The 25,294-nt window shown below is 32.1% G+C and overlaps 1 long non-coding RNA gene across 2 annotated transcripts in view, besides 1 other annotated feature; it reads right to left on the minus strand.

The window, feature by feature from the left end:
- The window catches only part of LINC02484 (long intergenic non-protein coding RNA 2484), a 148,337-nt gene that overhangs the window by 22,400 nt on the left and 100,643 nt on the right, over nt 1-25,294 (minus strand). The gene's annotated exons all lie outside the window — the stretch shown is intronic.
- Nucleotides 21,758-22,274: an enhancer, noted in NCBI's record as "NANOG hESC enhancer chr4:34167190-34167706 (GRCh37/hg19 assembly coordinates)". NCBI's record gives its function as "activates a minimal SCP1, AML or CMV promoter by ChIP-STARR-seq in naive and primed H9 embryonic stem cells {active_cell/tissue: H9 hESC(naive and primed)}" and the evidence as "EXISTENCE:reporter gene assay evidence [ECO:0000049][PMID:30033119]".

A 25,294-nucleotide genomic window follows, 5' to 3' on the forward strand; every position in this document is an offset into this window, starting at 1 on the left:
GGGGTGAAAGCACAGTCTTCCATCTATGCCATATTTTGTATTAATTAAACGATTTTGCTGTTATTAAAGCTGGCTTTAGGAAGAAGGTTAATGAGCCATTCTTGCAAAATTTGTAATGAGCACAAGAAAGGTAGCTTCAATCTTCCTCTAGGCTAGTGGTTTTGTAACATTAATATAAGTAAAATCACTGGAAATGCTAAAATTAGAGATTCCCAAATCCATTTCCAATAAAGTCTAAAGTAGTTGATCTAGGCATTTCAAAGAAGATTAAAAATTATTAAATACTCTAGATTATTCTAGTATGGCTGATTAAGGGCCATATTCCTAGACAGGATCAGAACTCCAAAATGCTGTCAACTGAATGAAAGGGGAAAGTTTGCTTCCCAATAGAAACCAAGCAGTGTTGAAGAAGTAAAGGGCTAGAGAGGAGGCCGAGAATAAAGTTCTTTAATAATGAATAAGTCCTCCTGATCTCAAATGATTTTCCAGAATATATGACATAAATAAGGCAGCCTATCTCCTTTTCATGGGATCAAGTTTATATTAAGAACTTTTCAGATTACCATGTCTTAAACAAAACAAAACAAACAAAAATAAAACCTTTGCAGAGGCCACTCAACTGTCCTTTTTTTTCTTTGAATATTTGATTTTTGGTGAAACTTTGTGAAATAATATCTTATTTGTCAATTCATAAACATTTTTAAGAAGACAATTCAATAAAATGAGATAGTTAAGACCTACAAATTAGTAATTAGTAGAACTATAAAATAACCTGCCCCAAAGTACCTCTTTGAGATATAAATATGTTAAGCAAGGATTAGTACAAAAGGATGTTTTCTTTGCCATTCATTGAGTATTTTCAATGATCATTTCTTACAAACGGTAGCTTCTGAAGAACTTCTTTTTACTTCTAGTTTTTCTTTCTGTCTTTGTGAAAGAAATTATTTTGTTTCAGATCACTTATTTATTCCTTTTAGAGTAGAGATTGAATTTAACTCTTACTTCTATGAAAGTACACTTAGAGACAAAAAGATATCATTAGATTTTTCTTATTTGACAGGTAAAAATAGAAAAAAAGTGCTCTCTTGATTTTTACATGGTAAGTGCAACTTTTTCATGAGTCATCTTAATTTTATATGCATTTCTTGCTCAGGTTTTGTGCAACAGAATTATAGCCATTTTTTGGTAAATCCATTTAAAATCATTCATCTGGATGAATATGTTTTTTTATTACAGCACAGATTACCATATACCTCCCAAAGACTTTTCTATTTCCCTGTCTTTAAAAAAAATCAACTCAATTCCCAAAGCACTTGACTATAGTAATGCCAATGCTGACTTAATTACGTGCAGTAAAGCTCTATTGGCTACAGCTTGTTGCTGGCTTTTCTAAGCTCTGCATGTATTTGTCTGGAAGGCAAATCCAAGAGTCATTTTTATCAGTGTCTGATCATGTTGCCATTATATGTGGTTAAATTTACTACAGTAATTCAGACCAAAATAAAAGAAAAATTCACAATAGATTTATATACAGCAAAAAAATCTGTGGGGCACTTGAGCAAGAAATAAAATGACTGCATCTGTATATTTAGAAATATAATTACTAAAACATATAGTAAAATATATTTACTGCATTAATTTATATATGTATAAAAGTATTACCAAAGTATAGCACTTACAAAACTTTGTTATTTGTTGTTTTCTGATAAGTTTACTTAAAGGCAATTAGTTCCTTTTGATCCTATATCTCAAAATCATGCCTAATCTTTTATTCAAAATGTCATAGACAGGGCAATTTCAAAATTATGTAAAACACCTGAATAGAAATTGTTCAAAAAAGACATACAAATGTCCAAGAGGTATATAAAAATGTGTTTCACATTACTAATCATCAGGGAAATGTGAATCAAAACTACCATGAGATATCATCGCATACCTGTTGGTATGACTATTATTAAGACGTCAAAATATGAAAGTTTAAGCAAGGATATGGAGAAAAGGAAACCCTTATACATCATTGGTGGGAATGTAAATTTGGACAACAATTATGGAAAACACCATGGATGTTTCTAAAAAATTTAAAAACAGAGCTACCATATGATCCTGCAATCCCATTTTGGGTATACATCCAAAATAAATGAAATCAGTAAGTTGAAGAGATATCCGCACTCCCACATTCATTACAGCATTATTCACAGCAGCCAGCATCTGGAATAAACCTGTGTCCATTCACAGATGAATGAATAAAGAAAATGTAATGTTTGGGTCAAAAATACAAAGTTGCAGTTATTTAGGATAAATAAATATGGAAATCTAATACAAGGTGTGAGGATAATAATTAATAATACTGTGTTGTATACTAGAAATTTTCTGAGAGATTTTATATGTTCTTACCACACAAAAATACATACACACACACACATGAATTATGTAAATTGAGGGCTATGTTAACTGACTTCATTGTAGTAATAACTAAACTATATATGTGTATATAAAAACATCATGTTGCGCACCTAAAATAGATACAAAAATGCAAAACTCCCATAATATAAAATTATAAAAACAAAACAAAAAACATTTCACAACATGCGTTAATTACAGTGTGATCACATTCAATTCAACTTAAATAACAGTGTTCTCAGCATAGTTTTCAGGTAGGACTCTTAGAATTATCTTTTATTTTAAAATTATAAAATATAAAACAGAATATTATTTAGCCTTAAAAAGGAAAGAAATCCTGTAATTTTCATCAACATGGATGAAACTGTAGGATGTTATGCTAAATGAAATAAACCAGGTACAGAAAGGCAAATACTAAGTGATTTCACTTATATGTGGAATCTAAACATGTTGAATTCATAAAAGCAGAGGATAGAATGGTGTTTCCAGGAGCTAAGAAGTGGGCAAAATGAGGAGATGTTGATCAAAGAGAACAAAGCTCCAGTTATACAGGATGAATAAGTTCTGTGAATAATTACCAAAATAAATAGTAAAAGATCTAGTGTATAGCAAAGTGACTATAGTTAATAATATTGTATTGTATATTTGAAATTAGCTCAGAGTAGATCTTAAATTTTCTCATCACAAAACAAAAATAACTATGTGAGGTGGTTATTATGTTAATTAGCTTCCTTGTGGCAATAATTTCAGAATGTATATCAAAGCACCATGTTATACATCTTAAAAGTATATACACATTATATTCATCAATTATATCTCAATAAAGCTAAAGACAAAACCAAAATGTTTCACTGTATTTACTGTTTTAGATGGACATTCTTCTTTTATCGATATATTTATATGAAACACACACACACATAGAATATATATAAAGAATATATCAAATATACACGGAATATATAGTTGAGTATATAGACACTTATATACTTAGTATGTTTATATGCACACATACACACAAATGCACAAAGGCACACAAATAAATGCACTTATATATTGAGTGTTGTCTGGGAACAATTGACCTCCAGTTGGTAGTTTGAAATTGACAATAGTAACCATATTTATATCACAGAAACAAAATAATTTATTTTATAAAGACAAAAGAGAGAAAATGGAAGAAACTTTGAAATTCATGGGTTTATGGGATTTCTAATTTGTTCTTGTCCTCTCAGAAAGCTAGCAGTTAAACATTACCAGCATGTCGCTGTACATATTAAATTGTGTGTGTTAGATTGATATAAATTGAATATGTCTGTGTGTATTTCTGGTCATGCAAATTAACGGTTTCATGAAATGGCTAGGGAATTCACTGCTTTTCTGCTTTCAAACATTTTGTAAGTAGTGACTCTAGAATCTGTCCTGAAATTTTGTGCATAATGGGTAGTGGATAGTACTTTTCCTATGCAGAACCACCTCCTGTTGCACCTCCTGTTGTTGTAGTAACTAATGTCACTACATTAGTGTTCTCCAACCCCCTTGTCAAGGGATATTGGTCTTTTATTAGGCATTCTTTCAGATGAATTCATTATGTTTTGGCATATTTCAAACACCACAAAAATTATTCAAGTCATTAAGTCTCATTTTCTGATTAGTATATTTGGCTGCTCATTCATTATTCCTGGTACACAATGTTACCTTGTTTGCATGTTTTATTTTTTTTTCCTGGACAAATTACTGAATGCACAAGGCAGTTTTAACCATGGGCAGAATCTTTGCAGATCAATGTTTCAGAGAAATGCCTATCAAACTGCCATATTTATCTTTCCTACCTATTTTTCTTTTCCCATAACTATAAGCATGGTTGGATTTCAAATGATTGATCATACAAAGCTCTAACAAAGAAAACATTAACCTTTCTGCCTTTAAGAAGCACACAATCTATTGTGGATGTAGCGATCATATTGAATCAGACAGGATGTGGTATCAGAGAGAATGGATCATTTATTTGATGTTCCTGACCTACGAAAAGGGAGCTCTCAAATTATTACTATTAGTTCTATCACATGAAAGCAAGTCCAGACTTAAGTAAAGGAGAGGCTTTTTTAGAAAAGACTATTGCAATAGAGGAAAGTAATGTTGTGATAGCGGATAAGTACTATTGCCATAGAAAGAAAGCTCCAGCTTAACCTGAGATCTGGAGTAGTATTAAAGTGAGGCAAAAAACAACTTTTTTTTTTATGAGAAGTAAACAAGGCTAGAAAGAACTGGGTGTGGGGAAATGGAATGATGAAGTGGAGAGACTGGATAGCTGACCTGAGTATATTTTCCCCTGGTATTAGCAGATTCTCAGGAGGGACCTTTGAGGAAGGGTCATTTAAGTTCCACTGCAAGAATTTTGTCCAGATTCGTTGCTGGAGACAAATATTAATAATTCAACTAAACATTTATGAGACACAGAATGAGTATTTGAAAGTCTGTGTCTGACCTTGTCATAGGTAAACAAAGGGGTATTTATGATTGTCTTCTCTGAGTCATCTAGGGAGAGAGATTCTTTGCAATAAAAATTTTGTACAGTAGAAAAAAAGAGGTTGGGGTAAGAAGTGTGGCTTTTGTCACCATAGCTTTTTTCCAAGAGCATGGAACTCAGGTAAAGTTCACTATAGTTGGTTACATTTTTGCAAATTTTATGTCAAGCCAAAATTTTTGTTTCTGCCTTAAGATTTTGATTCTTCACATGATATAAAGCGCCTCATATATCTCACATTTCTGTGTATCAACTGGGTAGGAGATGGACTGTTCATGAAAATGATAGCAGATGTGGAGATTCCGTAACAGGAGGCTGAAACTTAATGCATTGATCGTGGGATTGTAAACATCTGAATTTATTTCTATGGCTATTTACTTATCTTGGTGAAAATTTGAAAAATATGTTTCTCACTTCAACTATTCTGGGTATCTGTTGCTGAGAAATAAACTACCTCAATATTTAGCAGCTTAAAATAACAATTAATTATTGTGCCCACAAATGCATAATTTGGAGACAGCATAGGTCAAAGACCTGTGTATTCCACATAGCATCACCTGAAGCAACTCGATTGAACACTGTAGATCTAATTCCAAGACAGTTTGCTTACAGGGGTGGCAGGTTGGTGTTGGCTGTTAGCTAAGATCTCACCTGGGGCTAAGGTCCTGGAGTTTTGGTTCCATTTCATGTTGCTTGGACTACCCATCCAAGTAAGCTTAGAGTATAGTGGCTGTATTCCCAGGGCAATTATTCCAAGACAGAGAGAAGGTGAGGTGGGAACTATACTGATTTTAAGAACCGAGCCTTGGAAGTTATATAACCAACTTTTGCCAGACTCTTATGGTGTATCACAAAACTTGGCCCAGGTTCATTGGGAAGGAACATAAGCTTCAAGTCTTATTCATGCAATGGTAAGATTTCAAAAGATCATTTAAAACCAGAAATAGTTTAAGGACTATTTTAAGACATCATAAATTAACATAAATAATTATGTCCCAAATTTTTTGATAGAAAGATATGATTACGGCACTAGAGATTCTGTAATAAAAACGAACTTAGATGTGAAGGGCACAAAGTAGATGTGGGAACATCCTTGCAAAAATAAATTTTCTGGCATGCATTTTATTTTTTTTCTGGAGTATAATAGGCAATACTTCTCTGTTTAATCATTCAACTAATATATATCATGTCACTTGTTAATTTAGGATAACACACCAGTCGTAGTTTGTTTTCCACAAATATGCTAAGTTGTCAAAAAGTTATGTACAGTTACAGAGATCCACATATCCCTGAATATCATGTGATTATTACTGAAATAATTTCAAATCAGTAATGAGGCCGGGTGTGGTGGCTCATGCCTATAATCCCAGCACTTCAGGAGGCCAAGGCGGGCGGATCATGAGGTCAGGAGATGGAGACCATCCTGGCCAACATAGTGAAACCCCATCTCTACTAAAAATACAAAAAATTAGCCGGGCCTGGTGGCGCATCCCTGTAATCCCAGCTACTCGGGAGGCAGAGGCAGAAGAATCCCCTGAACCAGGGAGTTGGAGGTTGCAGTGAGCCGAGATGGCGCCACAGCACTCTAGCCTGGCGACACAGCGACACTCCTTCTCAAAAATAAATAAATAAATAAATAAATTAAATAAATAAAAATCAGTAATATGCATGAGGAACGTAATGATTGAAAACCTTTGTTATTTCTTTTATCTGAAAATTCCATTCCATCAGGGGTAAAACAAATTTTCTTTATCATTATCGTTTGGGAGCAGGATCAAATGTTTCCCATCCTTGAGCTGGAGCTTTTACTTACTTTCTACTTATCTCATCATCTTCCCTACAATTTTATAAGCTGAAAAATGAAACCCTCCCAAAAATAAAACACAGCTGTGGTGACTACATTCAAAAAGTCCAAAATAGATATTACCACATTTATTTACTGACTGTAAAGACTCACTGATGCTTCCAAGAAAGCTCTAAGTAGAAAAGGGAACTAGTGTTAAGATGATGAAAAGTCTCTATTACAAAATGATTGACGTGTGTATTAATTAGTAAAAATGTTAGCAATGTATTACTAGCTCTGAATTAAGTTAAATATGAGAGCAATGAGTGTGTATTTTGCTGAAATAATAATTCTTTAGACCACTAATTTATTACATTAATTTATCACTGGGCACCTATTATGTGTAAATAAGTCATAGTTAAGTTGACTTCTATGAATAAAATTCAGAAGATATTTTAGGCTAGTCAACTACCAATATACTTTAAAAGATTATAAAAGAGACTATTTAGAGTCTGAAGAGTATTTTCAAATCTTCTATAAGAGCACAGATTTCTAGGCTTTTAAAACTTACCTTAGAATAGAAAAAAAGACAGCTTTTTTACTTATCAGGTTAGTATAAGTATAAAATTAAAACTTGCTAAAAAACAAAGGAAAAAAGAATACTATGGACCATTAAAATGTATGACTACATATATATATAAATACACACATACACCTTTATACATGTGTGTATTCCATTCATAAATAAAATATTTGAATATGGAATCTACTTATGTAACAAAATAATTTTCTGCCTTAACAAATGGTATCATTTAAAAAATCCAAGAATAATTCATTATTAAAATATCCATTAATTCATCATATCAATATATGAAAGAAGTTTGAAATGATTGTCATATATATTGAAGCAGATCATGTAGAAAAATATGATCCATATGGGTTTCCGAGGATCTTATGTTTTAATTTATAAAAACATTAAGTAGAAAGTCAAGTGAAGAAGTTTAGAAATAAAATTGTATCATAGTACTTACTTATTAAAATGTTAAAGCCAGCAACTACAAGTGAAAATATTGTTACTTAGAAACTGTAAACTTATTTTATAGAAAAAATACTCCATAATTAATGTTTTAAATGAACAACCAACTTGGAAAACTGCTGTAGCTTAGAGAAAATTTTAAACAAATACATTAATATTTAAAATAGTTTTAAAGACCTATGTTTCAAAAAAAAGCCAACAAACTACAGAACTGAAACAGTCAATGTGAAGTAAAATGTACAAAAGAATAAACACAGATTTTCAATTAATATTATTATTATTATTACTACTAAGGCATTTTTAACACAAGTTAATGCTTACTATCAGCCAAGTGTACTTCTAATATTTTAATATTTTAAAGTTATTGTTTTATTTTTACTCACTAATAATCCTGTGATGTAGCACTATTATTACCCTTATTTCTAATTTTCAGTTACTGAAAAAATATAAGGCATGCATGGGGTTTAAATAGATTATCCAAGTTGTTCATCCTGTAATTAGAGGGACTAGAATTTAAACCAAGAAGGGCTGGCTCCAGAGGTGTTTGTAATCCATGTGTCTATAAAGGATTGCCATCTCACTCATAAACAAATAAATGAAATCTAAACCAATGAGAAATCAGTTTTGATCTTTCAGATTAAACTACAAAGAAAAGGCTCATAACATATAATGTTTATAACCATATGCTAAAACTGATCTCAAAATATCTGAAATTGGTAGAATAAAAATGAATGTACTGTTTGAAGTGAAATGTGTTTAGAATTCTAAATTTAAATCCCATTGGGGCAAGAAAGGCCGCTTCTAATAATTGATTCTACAAAAGTAATTACAGATATCTCTGAGATGAGTGTGAGGTATGTGGGTATTAATAGGGGATAGTGTAATAAATTACGGTACAATGAGATGATGGGCAATTACACTGCCTCAAACTCCCTGTCTTTTGTTTTTCACACGTCTTGCTCCCTCTCATCTTTCAGGTTCTACTCTACTCACCTAGGTCCCAGAAGCCTTCCAAATTCTCAACTTATGTTAGCCCTTCCTACCTCATTATAATTCATATCCATCCCCTCCCTAACTTTTTGGCATGTATTACAATCGTTCTTTATTATTATGAACTTCTTAGTTTTTAATTTGTCTCTTCTCACTAAAATGTAAGCTTAAGGAGGATTAACTTGTGTTATACCTCCATAACTGAGAACAATACCTATTATACAGTGGTACTCAAAAAATAACTATTGTATGTAAGAAAAACAGAATAAACCAATAGTTGTTCACGTGTGTGCATATAAAAAGGTATGCATACCAGCAAAATGCATCTTTAAGTTTTGAGATAAATGATGTTTTTCTCTTTATAGTCTCACCTTCTTTGGAACATTTTAGTTTTTTTTGTTTCAATTTTTATATACAATAATGCATACACTTTTTTGTTTCTAGAGTTTTTTTATTTTTTATTTGTTTTCAGAGAGTGTCTCATTATGTTGCTCAGGCTGGTCATGAACTCCTGGGCTCAAATCATTCTCCTTCCTTAGCATACCGAGTAGCTGGGATGACAAGGGTGCACAATTGCACTCAGCTACATACAAGTTTTATAAACAGAAAAACAAATGTAAAGTTACTGGCAACTTGAGAATGAACAGATATATCAGTACTAGCATGAGAAAATTCAAAGTGCTTCAAAATTCTAATAATAAATTATTGACTACTAACACAATTCATATTCTTTCAATGTATGGTAGTATAGAGATATTTAAAAATTTGTTATTTGTATATTTATACCTATCTATAATATTTTATCTTATTCTCAACAATGAACAGTAGTAATTACATATCCTAAATTTTAAATCTTCTCAATTTCACAATTTGAAAAAATAATAGAATGTAGATAATAGCATCTTGGTCCCTTCAGGCTGCTACAATAATACATGGGACTAGGCTATTTATAATATAATATAAACAGAAATTTATATTATCACAGTTTTGGAGGCTGAAATGTCCAAGCTCAAGGCACCAGCAGATTCAATGTCTGGAGAGGGCTGCCCTCTGCTTCAAAGTTGAAGCCTGGTTGCTGTGTCCTCCCATGGTAGAAGACAAAACAGCAAAAATGGCACTAGAGTGATTCCTTCAACCCTTTTTATAAGAACACTAGTCCATTCATGATGGTGGAGCTCTCCTGATTTGGTGGAGCTCTCCTGATTTAATTACCTCTCAAAAGGCCCCACCTTTTAATAATATAAATTTATTATTATATTTCAACATATGAATTTTAAAGGGACACATATACTGAAATTACAAAATTTCTTAATTTAATTTGCATTAAATTAAAAAGTTGCTTTTCCTATAAATAAAAAATAAATTTTTTAAAGTAACCTAACTTCATGTGAAAAGGCCCTTGATTTAAAATCATAAGTGCTAAATATCAAAAAGTATGTAGGGCTGGAAAAAATCGGTACACAATAAGAAAATAGAATTATTTAAAATTTATTTTACTGTAATTGCCTAATAAATGAATGTAATAAAAATGTCTTAGAATAAACAAATACATTTACATGGTTTTTTTTTTGTGGGCTAAAATATAAATTAATACATAATTTATACAAATTTATAAATGTGCCCGGAATTCATTGATCTTATCTACATAGCATGAAAGAGAAAGAGTTTTAAAGGAGAATAAAATTTAAAAGATTATATACATCTATATATATAAAAAAATCTTTCACATAATATATAAATATATTTTTTCTGAATCACATATAGTTTCTGAATAAATTGAATATAAAAACAAAATAAAATTTCTTATATATTTTCTATAATTGGTGAATATGAAAATATGATACTGAACTATAGTATTCAATCAAAATATTTTATAACAAAAAATTCAAATATTTTATTTGCAATTATTAATGAAATATGTGGACTGATAGTCCCATTTTATTTTTTTAACTATTCAGTTATCTCCTATCATGAATAGTTAAATATTCAAAATTACATTATATTTTTGGATCTTTTTACAGAAGTAAAAAGTATAATTACATTATATTTTTGGATTTTTGGATCTGACTACTCTCTTCTCATGAAATATAACTACATATACATTACATTTTATCAAAAATTAGAGTGAACTCATGCTATTTTACTGGACTGTTTCTGCACTGGATTTCCTTAAGTTTCTCAGAACCCCTTTTTTGAGGTTTCATGGAATAATTTAAGTTTAATAAATCTATTATTAGATTTAATAAATGAAGATTTATATCATAGATCATAAGTCATGAATTTTGCAAGTGTGCTTTTCCCTTCAAATCATCTTCCTTCAAAGTCATCTTTACAGGATAAACATAACTTAGTTTATACGGATATAAAGATCTTCCAACGTTTTATAATTGAAATTTCTTTGTAATACTTTTTCCAGTTCTATTAAGTTTTTCTTGACTTTTTTTTTAACTTCAGCACAATATTTTAGGTGTAGTTACAGCCAAAGTTGATATTTTAAATATTGAATAATCACTGGAATGCAATGTACATCATAAATATAAATCGATTTCAGTTCTGAACAATGGGAACAGCTTCAACACTATACTAAATGAATTTCAGCACAGATACTTAGAGAATTTTGAAATATTTTTAATAACTCTACTCATACTTTGGATCAACTGATAATGGACTCATAAAACAATGTCCTCAAATAATGGCTTAAAATCCTTTTAATTAATTAAGATGTATTGTTCATTGATATTGATGACAAGAAAATAGTTTAAAATAAGATAGATGATTTTCCTCTCTTTAGTATGTCATACATTCTAAAGGGGAGAAGAAGAAAATAAGCCCATTTAAAATGAAATAAACATTATTTTTCACCATGATGGAGCAGCTACTATCAGACATAACTCCCTATCTTAGTCCATTTTGGCTGCTATAACAAAATACCATAAACTGGATGGTTTATAAACAATGAAAATTTATTTCTCACAATTTGGGATGAGGGAAAGTACAAGATGAAAAGGCTGATAGATTTTGGGTCTGATGATGACCCACTTCCTCATAGCCATCTTCTCACTATAACTTGGCATAATAGAAGGGAAAAGGAACTCTCTAAGGTCTCTTTTATAAGACACTGATCGCATTCATGCAAGTTCTGCCCTCACTATCTAATCACCTCCCAAATGCCCTACCTCCAAATTTCTACCTCCTAATTACATTGATGATTAGGTTTCAACATATAAATTTTGTTAAATACTTAGACAATAGTACTTCCCTAGATAAATACCTGTGACAATGGGAAAAATACATAGAATAATTTCATGCATTGAGCAATGGACAGTGAAGAATGAGAAGAAAAAATATTTAAATAGAAAAGAATATATATTTAAAGAAATAATTCCCATTTTTTCCAAAATTAGTGAAAAATAAAAACCCACAAGTCTAAGAAACTCAGTGCAGTTCAAGAAGGGTAAATATAGAGGACATATTTGGGCAAACAGTTAAGTTGCTTAATATAACAATAAAAAGAAAACTGCTAAGTAACTCTGTTACTCTGTTCTCATGCTGCTATGAAGAAATACTGGAGACTGGGTAATTTATAAAGAAAAGAAGTTTAATTGATTCACAGTTCTTCATGACTGGGGAGGCCTCCGGAAACTAACAATCATGGCAAAGGGCATCCCTTCACAGGGCGGCAGGAGAGAAAATGAGTGTCGAGTGAAGGGGGACGCCCTTTATAAAACCATCAGATCTTGTGAGAACTCACTCACTATCATGCAATCAGCAATAGGGGAAACCACCTCCATGATTCAATTATCTCCACCTGGTCCCACCCATGAAATATGGGGATTATTACAATTCAAGGTGAGACTTGCATGGGGACATAGGGCCAAACCATATCAGAAACCCCTTCCCAATAAAAAAAACAGGATTATACTCAGGAATAAAATGTTATGAACAATGACTCACATCAAAAACAGTAAAGGTCACAAAAAAAAAATAAACAGCATCTTTAAAATGCCAAAAGAGAAAAGTCAATTTAGATATCCAGATTTAGTAAAAATTTTCTCCAAAATTTAATTAGAAATTGTTAATGTGTAAAAAGAAAATTTAGGTTAAATAGAAATGTTCACAGATGAAAGTTTGGATCTCATTAAAAAATGAAGAAAAACCCAAATAGCAGTTATGTTGGTAAACATACAGTTTCATTACAATTTTTAAAAAAAATGTTAAATGTTTAAAAGATAATAAATGTAATGTCACTAATGCAAAAGTAATAATGCACTAAATATGACGTACATAGAAATAAAACAACAGCAGCACAAAATATATGTGGGGAAGCGATTAAAATAAATTAAATGAAGTCCTATGTAGAAATAAAACAACAATCACACAGAATGTGTCTAGAAGTGGGAATAAAATGAATTAAATGCAGTACTAATTTTGCAATCTGAAACTGTGCAACATGACCTTAAAAATCAATGAGAAAAAATAACTATTCTCTGACCTGTAAAAATTGTGTCAAAATATTAAAAACTTGCTTAGAACCAGATATGCATATGGAAATTAAAAATTTTAAATAATATTTATTTGTTACACTGTGATTTGAAACACTAAAGTGTTTTATTTCTTTGTAAGAAACAAAGGTATTAAGAAGACTATCAATATTGCTTGCCTTCTGGTCATATATCTTATTTTTATATGCCATGAAAATCTTTCCTATGTCTTGGCAAATTGTCATACTCTTTTTCTAAGTGTGGATCAGCCTTGAACATTTTAATCTTTGCACGTTCAATATCGTTAAGATATCTCCAAGAGTTTCTTTAATGTAAGAATTTTAAAAAATATATTTCTGCAAGTGTCCTTTCTTCTGAGATACCTTTATCCTTTTTGTTTCAAACACTTTTCTTCGTTTTTATTAATAAATTCACTTTCAAGTTTCTCTGATTGTAGATTGAGACTCTTAAACAGTAGCAATGTCAACATCCCCATAGCTGGCTATTTCTTCTATAATTTTATTTTTGTTTTATTCAAACTGTATTTGCCACATTATAACATTTTTTTGCTGCCTTTTCAACTTCTTAGTCAAATGACTCTTTGGATTATTTATTTTTCAAAAATGACATGTGGGCTTATTGCAAGAATATGAGTAGACAATCCAACTATAAGATTTGCTGCCTGTGAATAACAGATGCATGGTGACCAAACACAAAAAGAATTTGAAAAAAGTGAAAAGACTGGTTATAATTTATTATAACCAGTGCACATCATATGTGCATGAACCACATATGCTATTTACATAGTGGTTTGTGAAACAAAGAGTTAGCTAAATGTGTAGCTTACTCATAGTCAATATACTATAATATCTAAAATATTAAATGTGTAGTTAATGTCACTTGATGTCAATTAAATTGTGTTAACAAATTCTTACATACCAGAACTATGCAAAACAAGAACTGTCTGTATGCTCTTATTTATTGTGTTGTTATGTACCTTAGAAAATCTTATTTTATACAGGAAGTGATAGAATATTAAAGCAAGATGGACTCAGATAAGTTAAGAATGTGTATTATAATCCTTTGATCTACCACTAAACATGTAATAAAAAGAGTGACAGCTAAAAACATCAAATAAGAGTTAAAATAGAGGAAGGTAGGGTGAGATAATGGAATAGAAGCCTACACTGTTAGTCCACCTGCCCTTCCCCGCTTTCCTGGAACCCAAATTTTAACAACTATCTGCACACAAGAAAACACCATCACAAGAACCAAAAGTCAGGCAGGTGAACAATTAAAGTGCCTGGTTTTGATTTTACATCACTGAAACAGGCATTGAGGAGAGCAGGAGAGATAGTGTTGAATCACTGACACCACCCCTACTCCATCCCAGCAGTGGCCATGCTACATGAAGACAGAATTTGTGGACTTTGAAGAGGATGAGCACAATGACTGGAAGACTTTACATTGAACCCAGTGCTGCACTGTTGCAGAAGAGAAGAAAGCTATGTTGGGCTCAGCCAGCACCTGTGAATGGAGGGCCATTTAGACCAGCCCTAGCCAGAGGGGAATCATCCATCCTAGCCATCAGAATTTGAGAGTCTTAGCAAGCTTCACCACTGTGGGCTGAAGTGTTTTGGTGTACCAGATACCTAGTTTTGCCATAGTGGCATAGAGCAAGAAGAAGTCTGTTAAGGTCCCTCAGTTTGGGCCTGTATTCTGACTGCGTTTCTGGACCTGCCCTTGGCCAGAGAGCCCACTGACCTGAAAGGTGAGTCCCAGGTATGACAGCATTCACCACAAGCTAACAGAAGTGCCCTTGATCTTTAAGTGAACATCACTGGTGGCCTGGCAGAACCACCCATGAACTGGTGGTGGTGGTGGCCACAGGGAGAGGTTCCTTTGCCTGCGGAAAAGTGATGGGAGGGAAGAGCAAGAATGACTTCATATTGTGGTTTGAGTGACAGCTTAGCTGCAGTAGTATATAACTTCAAGTAAATTGCTAAGGTTTTGCCTCTAATTACTCACTCCCAGAAAATGTCTCTGAACATGCCTGGAAACTGGGGGATCTCACCACACTGAAGAAAATGGCCTTGGGCAAGGCCCAGTGCTCTGCTGGCATCAGGTCTGAGCTAGCACAGTCTCAGTGTTGATGACCACAGGGTGCTTGAATTACCACACCCCCAGTTCCAGGTTCAGCAGAGACAGAGGGACTTTATTTGTTTGGCAGAAAATAAGGGGAAATAACAAGAGTCTTTCCCTAATAATCCAAAGAATTCTTGCAAATTTTATCCAAGACCACTGAGGCAGTACCTCTACAAGTCTGCAAAAAACACAGTGTTATAGGGTTTGCGGCCCAAATCTCTTTGCATACCTGAAAAGCCTTCCAAAGAAGGAGAGTTACAAAAAACCTCAACTCTGAAGACCATAACAAATAAATACCTAACTCTTCAATGGCCAGACACCTACAAATATCAACACCATCCAGGAAAACACGAGCCCACAAAATGAACAAGATAAGTCACCAGGGACTAATACTGGAGAAAAAGAGTTATATCGTCTTTCAGACAAGTAATTAAAAAGAGCTGTGTTGAGGAAACTCAACAAAATTCAAGATAACACATTGAAGGTATTCAGATAAATTTAACAAAAAGATTAAAACAAAAAGGATCAAAAAGAAATTTTAGAGGAGAAAAATGCAATTGACATATGGAGAATTCATCAAAATCTCCCAATAGCAAAAACGATCAAGCAGAAGAAAGAATTAGTGAGCTTGAAGACAGCTATTTGAAAATACACAGTCAGAGGAGACAAAAGAAAAAAGAATACAAAAGAATGAAGCATGTCTACAAGGTATAGAAAATAATTTCAAAGGGACAAATCCAGGAGTTATTGGCCTAAAATCCGAGGTAGAGAAAGAGATAGGGGGAGAAAGTTTGTTCAAAGGGATAATATCAAAGAACTTCCCAAACCTAGAGAAAGATATCAACATTCAAGTACAAGGAGGTTACAGAACACAAAGCAGATTTAACCCAAAGAAGACAACCTCAAGACATTTAATACTTGAACTTCCAAAGGTCAAGGATAAAGAAAGGATCTTAAAAGCAATAAGAGCAAAGAAATAAATAGCATACAATGTAGCTCTAATATGTGTGGCAGCAGACTTTCCAGTGGAAAGGTTTGCAGGCCAGGAGAGGATGACATGACATATATTTGAAGTGCTGAAGAATTAAAAACTTTTACCTTAGAATAGTTTATCTGGTAGAAATATTTTTTAAGCATGAAAGAGAAATAAAGACCTTCCCAGTCCAACAAAAGCTGAGGGAGTTTATCAATACCAGACCTGTTCAACAAGAAATGGTAAACAAAATTCTTCAGTCTGAAAGAAAAATATGTTAATGAGCAATAAAAAAATCACCTGACGGTACGAAACTCACTGAGAGTAGTAACCACAAAGAAAAACAGAGTACTATAGCACTGTCATTATGATATGCAAAATACTCCTGACTTAAGTACAAAGACTAAACAATGAACCAATCAAAAATAATAACTTTTAAATTCATAGACAGCACAATAAGACATAAAAAGGAACAACAAAAAGTTAAAAAGTGGGGGCATAAATTTACAGTGTAGAATTTTTATTTGTTTTCTCTTTTCTGTTTGTTTATGGAATCAGTGTTATCAGTTTAGAATAATGGGTTATTAAACAGTATTTGCAAGCCTCCTGGTAACTTCAAATAAAAAAAGACATAACAAATACACAAAAAATAAAAAGCAAAATTAAAGCATACTACCAAAGAAAATTACCTTCACTGAAAGGAAGACAGGAAGAAAAGAAAGAAGGAGGAGAAGTCTGCAAGACAACCAGAAAACAAATAATAAAATGGCAACAGAAACTCCCTACTTATCAATAAAAACGTTGAATGTAAATGGAAGAAACTCTCCAATTAAAAGACATACAGTGGCTGAAAAGATGAAAAAACAAGGTTCAACGATATTTTGCCTCAAGAAACATACTTCTCTTATAAAGACACACAAAGAGTGAAAATAAAGGAATGGAAAAAGTTATTTCATGCCAATGGAAATAAAAAAGAGAAAGAGCAGCTATACTTATGTCAGAAAAAAAAATTCCTAACAAAAACTGTATAAAAAGACAAGATTATCATGTAATAATAAAGAACTCAATTCAGCAAGAGAATATAATACAATTGCAAATAAATATGCACTCAACATTGGAGCACCCCAATACAGAAAGCAAATATTATTAGAGCTAAAGAGAGAAAGATAGACCTCAACACAATAATAGCTGGAGACTACTACACCCCCACCTACAGCATTGGACAGATATTCCAGATGGAAAATCAATAAAGAAAAATTGGACTTAATCGTCACTGTAGAACAAATGGACATAATTGATATTTATAGATGATTGCATCCAATGACTGAAGAATACACATTTTTTTTTCTTAGCACATGGATCATTCTTTTGGATAGATCATATGTTAGGTCACAAAACAAGTCTTAATACATTTCAAAAATTTTAAACAATACCAAGCATCCTCTCTCACCACAATGGAATAGAACTAGAAATCAATTACAAGAAAAATTTTGAAAACTATATGAAAAACATGTGAATTAAGCAATATTCTCCTGAATGACCATTGAGTCAATGAAGAAATTAAGAAGGAAATTGAAAAATGTCTTAAAACAAATGACAATGGAAACACAACATAACAAAACCTGTAGGATACAGCAAAAGCAGTGTTAAGAGGGAAATTTATAGCCATAAGTGCCAATTCAAACAAGAAGAAAAACTTCAAAAAGATACCCTTATAATGCATCCTAAAGATCTATAAAAGAAAGAGAAAGCTGAACCTAAATTTAGTAGAAGAAAACAAATAATAAAGATTAGGGCAGAATTAAATTTGAAACAAAGAAAACAATATAAAATATCCATGAAAAAAATTTCAAACTTTTGGCCAGAATAGCTAAAAAAAAAAAAAGAGAAGACCCAAATAAATAAAGTCAGATATGAAGAAGGAGGAATTACAAATAATACCACAGAAATTCAAAGAATCATTAGTGGCTACTATGAGCAATTACATTCCAATAAGTTGGAAAATCTAAAAGAAATGAATAAATTTCTAGACACATACAGCCTATCAAGATTTAACCATGAAGAAATCCAAAATCAGAACAGAACAATAATTAATAAAATGAATACCGTCAGAAAAGCCCAATATCTCTGATGAATAATGATGCAAAATCCCTCAAAAAATACTAGTAAACTGAATTCAATGATATATTAAAAAGATCATTCATCGAGACCAAGTGGGATTTATCCCTGTGATGCAAGGATGGTTCAATATATGCAATTGAATCAATGTGATATATCAATATAATGTAGGACAAAACCATATAGTAATTTCAACTGATGCTGAAAAAGCATATGATACAGCTCTACATCCCTTCATGATAAAATTTCTCAAAAAATGCATATAGAGGAAACATACCTCAACATAATAAAAGCCATATAGGCCAGAACTACAGCTATTAATTGTAACATACTGAATGGGGAAAAACTGAAGGCATTTCTTCTTAGACCTGGAGCAGTACAAGACTTTCCAATTTCACCAATTTTATTCAACGTAGTACTGGAAGTCCTGGTTAGAGCAAACAGACAGGAGAAAAAAATAAAAGCCACCCAAACTGAAAAGGAGAAAGAAAAAAGTATCCTTGTGGACAGATGATATGATTTGATATTTGAAAAAAACTAAAAACTCCACTAAAAAACTATTAGAAACAATAAAGACATTCAGTAATCTTGCAGGATACAAAATCGACATACAAAAACCAATAGAATTTCTATATGCCAACAATGAACAATGTGAGAAAAAATCAATAAAGGAATCTCATTTAGAATAGCTACAAATAAAGTTAAATAGCTAGCAATTAACTTAACCAAAGAAATGGAAGATCTCTATGATGAAAACTATAAAACATTGATTAAAGAAATTGAAGAAGACAGACAAAAAATGGAAAGGTCTTCATGGATTGGAAAAATCAACTTTATTCAAATATCCATAGTACTTAAATAAATCTATAGATTCAATGCAATACCTAACAAAATACCAATGATATTCTTTACAGAAATAGAAACAAAACACTTCTAAAATTTATATGGAACTACAAAAGACCAAGAATAGACAAAGCTACTTTAAGCAAAAAGAACAAAACTGGAGGAAATAATTTACCCAACTTCAAATTATTCTACAGAGATATAGTATCTAAAATATTATGGTACTGACACAAAAGCAGACATATAGACCAATGAAACAGAATAAAGAACATAGGGGAAAATCCAAACTCTACATAAACTCATTTTTGATAAAGGTGCCAAGAACATTCTTTGGGGGAAAAGATGGTCTTCAATAAATGGTTCTAGGAAAACTGTACACCCAAATGCAGAAGAATGAAACTGCATTCCTATCTCTTACCATATACAAAAATTAAATTAATATGGATTAAAGACTTAACAGAGGAATGGATAAAGAAAATGTGGTACTTGTACACAATGGAGTACTATTCAACAATAAAAAAATGAGATTCAGTCTTTTGCAACATGGATGGAACCACAAGTCATTATGCTATGTAAAATAAGCCAGGTATAAAAAGTCAAACATCGCATATTCTCACTTATTTGTGGTATCTGAACATCAAAACAATTAAAACCATGGATATGGAAAATAGAATGTTAGTTGCCAGAGGCTAAGAATGGTTGTGAGGGGGCAGGAGAGAGGTGGGATGCTTAATATGTACAAAAAATATACAGAGTGAATGAATAAGACAGCATTTCAGGGTAATAGACAATAATAATTTCACTGTAAATTTTTAACTAACCGAGAGATGTAATTGGATTGTTTGTATCACAAAAAATAAATGCTTGAGGGGATGGATACCCAATTTTCCATGATGCATATTATGCATTTCTTGCTGTACCAAAATATCTCAAGTACCCTATAGATATCTACACCTAATATGTACCCACAAAAATTAAAAATTAATTTGAAAATAAAATGAGAGTATTCAATAAGTGAATAAATACTTGATTAATTCAAGCAAAGTCAGGAAAAATACAAGACTAGAGGAAACATAGAAGAATAAATTACAAAATTATAAACAATATTAGTCATTTCACTGACTACATTAAATTCAAAGGCACTAAACACTACATTTGAAAGCCAAAGGCTGCCAGACTGGATGAAAAAACAACATCCAACTATATGGTGTTTACAAGAGACAAAATTTAATTATAAGGATACCAGGAAATCGAAGGATGAAAAACAATATGTAATGCAAACAGTAATGATTAGAAAGCTATAGAGAGAACCCTATGTAGATATCTAAAAAGTAGATATTACCGGAGAGAGCAAGAGAGATTTTTTGACAGAAGCGTCAATTCATCAGGAAGGCATAACTGTCTTATATATGTATGCATCCATAGCATAGGTTTAAAATGCATAAGAGAATAATTAAATGTTCCAAAAGAAAAATAACTAAATTTAAGATTTTGGCCAGGTGCAGTGGCTCATGTCTGTAATCCAAGTGCTTTGGGAGGCAGAGGTGGGAGGATCACTTGAGACTGGAAGTTTTAGACTAGCCTGTGCAACATAGTGAGATCCCCTCTCTACAAAAATGTAAAAACTAGCCAGGTGGGGTGGTGTGTGCCTGTAATTACAGCTACTCAGGAGGCTGATGTCGGAGGATTGAGCCCAGGACTTCCATGTTGCAGCAGGCTGTGATCGTGCCAGTGCACTCTAGCCTGAGCAAGAGAGGGACACCATGTCTCTTAAAATAATAATAATAATATCACTAATTTTAATTTCTCAGTAATTTCTTGAACAAGTAGACAAAATATCATTAAAGATGTAGAAGGATTACATTATCTAATGTGACCATATTCACATTTACGGATATGGAGTATTACATTCAACAATGGAATAATACACATTATTTTAAAGCACTCAAGGAATATTCACCAAAATACACTACAAGATGAAGCATAAAATGAGTTCCAAAGAATTAAAGTTATATAGATATCATAATCTGAATGAATAAAAACAAACTGAAAAACTACTTCAAATTATTAGAAATCCATCAAAAGTTAGAAATACAAAACCCCATTCTAAATACGTATGGGTGAAAAAGGAATGAGTGAAAATGAGAAAATATTTTTTCTAAATGATAGTGAATACAAAACCTAACAACATGTTTGTATGTAATTAAAGTAGTGATTAGAAGGAATTTTTAAACCTCAAAGCTCATTAATTGGATGTTGGGGAAAACAGTTTTAAAATCAATCATTCAAACCTTGGCATGAGAAGCTGAAAAAAGAAAAGCAAATAAAAACTGAAAAGGAAAAAGAAAAAGATATGAACATAAATAAATAAACTATTAGAACAGAAAAACAGACGAAAAAATCATAGATTCAAAAGACTATATTTGAAAAAGTTACCAAATTTAATAAATTCATATGATTTACTGAGAAGATGAGACACAGGATATACAAATGACCAATTTCAGGAATGCAAAAGGAGATATTATTCCAGGTGCTGTAAAATTTGTTAGGAGAATGAGGTAATATTGCAAACCTTTAAAGAGGTACTTAATGTTAAATGTGATCAATAAAGGTGAAGCCCTAATGCAACTGGACTGTTGTCTTTATAAGATGAAGAGACACCAGGTGCATGCATGCACAGATAAAAGCCATGTGAGGACAGAGTGAAAAGGTGACAATTAGCAAGCCAAAGAGTACTCAGGAAAAACCAACTCTGCCAACACTTTGATCTTGGATGTTTACCTCCGGAATTGTAAGAAATGAGTTTCTGTAGTTTAAGCCACCCATGATGTGGTGTTTTGTTATGGCAGTCTTAAAAGACTAAAATATTCTTATATTAAAATCTAAAAAGAATATTACATGAAGAGCAAATTTCAGAGCAACTTTTATCAAAGCATAGACAGAAAAATTCTAAAAAGAAAATATCAGCAAATACTATAAAACAATATATAAAAAGATTTATACATCATGACCAAGTGAGATTTATCCCAGTAGTAATGTTAGATTGAAGTAATATTAAAAAGTAGATTAACGCAGCATGTTAGCAAAATAAACAAAATATATAATCATCTTAATAGATGAAGAAACAGGATTTGATAAAAATTAATATTCATTTATAAGAAAAACTAACAATCTAGAAATAGAATATTAATCTGTTATAGAGTATCTATATAATTTATTTTAGTATATCATATTGCATGATAAAACAGTTAATGTTTTACTCCTACTTTTAAGTCTAAATGTAGAATATTTCCTTTCCATATTTATATAAACCCTGTGCTGTACATCTTGGCTAGTACAATAAGAAAATAAAAAAAATATAAGACATAAAAGATGGAAAAAATTAAACTGCCCTAATTCACTATTGGTAAAAACAGTAACAAAAAATTAAAAATGCAAAAACTTATAGAAATAGTAGATAAATTTAGCAGAAAGTAAAAGTAAATATATAAAACTAACTTTATATTTAGGTACTAAAGACAGTGGTAAAAAATGTTTAAATATGTTCTATAGCATAAAAATCATGAAATCTTTAGAAATGTAACAAAAGATATGTAACAAATAAAACATCATTGCTGAGTTAAACTAAAGAAGACTTAGCTAAATTTTTATGGTTAAGAATACCCAATATTGTCAATTTATAATTTTCTTTCTAAATTAACTACAGAGACAACGTATTTCTGCTAAAAAATATATGTAGTAATTGACAAATGGAATATAAAACATATTTTTAAAAATACCAAGGATTTAGAATATTCAAGGGAATAATGAAGGAGAACGGAGTTGACTACAATGGTTACTACAAAACTATAGTAATTCAGAGAGTTTAACACTTATGTAAGAATAGGTGAACAGATCAGCAAAAACAGAGGCAAGAGTAGATCCACAAACTAAAGGATAATTAATTTTTAATGAAGGAATCAAAGCAATTTTATGGGAAAAGTACATCTTTTCAAAAAATTATGCTTAATAAGCTCAATATATATATTCAAAAACCCGATAATCTTTTCCCAACCCCAAGTCACCACGTGCAGAAATTTTAACTTAAAATGGATGATAGATAAAATTTTGAAAACTAAATCTAGACCCAGGTGTGGTGGCTCAGGCCTATAATCCCAGCACTTTGGGAGGCAGAGTCAGGTGGATTACTTAAGCCCAGGAGTTCAAGACCAGCCTGGGCAACACGGGGAAATCCTGTCTCTACAAAAAATACAAAAATTAGCTGGGCAAGTTGGTGCACCTGTAGTGCCAGCTACTTGGGTGGCTGAGGTGGGAGGATCACTTGAGATTAGGAGGTCACGGCTGCAGTGAGCTGTGATCATATTATTACCCTACAGCTTGGGCAACAGAACAAGATACTGTATCAAAATATATACATATAAAAAAACTAAAGCTACATCAGTTTTGGTAGAATATACAAAGTAATAAGTTTTATGATATTGGTTTGTCAATATTTCTTAGATGGAACTCAAAAGGCACTTAGCAAAAAAGGGAAAAAGCAATCATTTGTATTTTACCAAAATTAACATATTTTAATCATCAAAAACATTATTAAGGCAGTGAAAAGTCACAAATAGACTGAAGAAAATGATGAGTTAATAGCTATGCTACCAAAGAAAGGACTCATACCCTGAATATAAAAATAATTCTTCCACATTAGTACTAAAGTGATAAACATTTCCACTAAAATTTGTGTCAAACACTAGAACATGTATGTCCAAAAAGACATAAGTGACTCACAAGAAACATGTGGAAGGGTGATTATATTCGTTCATTTTCGCACTGCTATAAGAAACTGCCCGAGATTGGGTAGCTTATAAAGGAAAGGGGTTTCATTGACTTACAGTTCAGCATGACTGGGGAGGCTTCAGGAAACTTACAATCATGGTGCAAGGTGAAGGCGAAACAAGGCACCTGCTTCACAAGGCAGTAGGAAGGAAACGTGCCAAGTGGAGGGCGAAGGGTCCCTGATAAATTCATCAGATCTCGTAAGAACTCACTATCATGAGAACAGCATAGGGGAAACGCCCCCATGACTCAATTACCTCCACTTGGTCTCTCCCTTCACAAGTGAGGATTATGGAGATTATGGGGTTTACAATTCAAGATGAAATTTGGGTGGGGACACAAAGCCTAACCCTATCAGTGATAAACATTAATATTTTTTAACAATGTCAATTAAAATCAAAATGTACAATTTTAAAACCCAGAATAAAAAAAACTGAAAAGGCCAGCAATAATTAGTATTAGCAAAGATATAGAGCATTCAGAACTTTTATACATTGCTGGTGAGAGTAAAAAAATGACATAACTACTTTGGAAATGTATGTATTTTCTCATAAAGTTACATAGATATCAACCCTACACCCTAGCAGTTTCACTCCTAGTTACTATGTGAGAGGAAAAAAAAGCTTTAAGTTTACACAAAAGATATGTGTAAGTATGTCCATAGCAGCTTTATTCATAATATTCAGAAACTAGAAGAAAAAAAATCAGCTATCTATTAGAAGATAAATGAACAGACTATGATATATCTATACAATGAATTAACAAGGAAAAAAGAATTGATGTAAATAACAACACCTGTGAATTTCAAAAGCATGATAGTGAGAGAAATGAAATGCAAAATAATACACAATGGGCCAGGTGTGGTGGCTCATGCCTATAATCCCAGCACTTTGGGAGGCTGAGGTGGGTGGATGATGAGGTCAGGAGTTGAAGACCAGCCTGGCCAAGACGGTAAAACCCTGTCTCTACTAAAAATACAAAAATTAGCCAAGCGCGGTGGCAGGTGCTTGTAATCCCAGCTACTCAGGAGGCTGAGGCAGGAGAATTGCTTGAACCTAGGTGGCAGAGGTTGCAGTGAGCCGAGATTGCACCACTGCACTCCAGCCTGGGAGACAGAGTGAGACTCCGTTTCAAAAATAATAATAATAATAATAATAATACACACTGTATGATTTCA

The sequence above is a fragment of the Homo sapiens genome, chromosome 4, assembly GCF_000001405.40.
Source record: "Homo sapiens chromosome 4, GRCh38.p14 Primary Assembly".
Classification (NCBI taxonomy): Eukaryota; Metazoa; Chordata; class Mammalia; order Primates; family Hominidae; genus Homo; species Homo sapiens.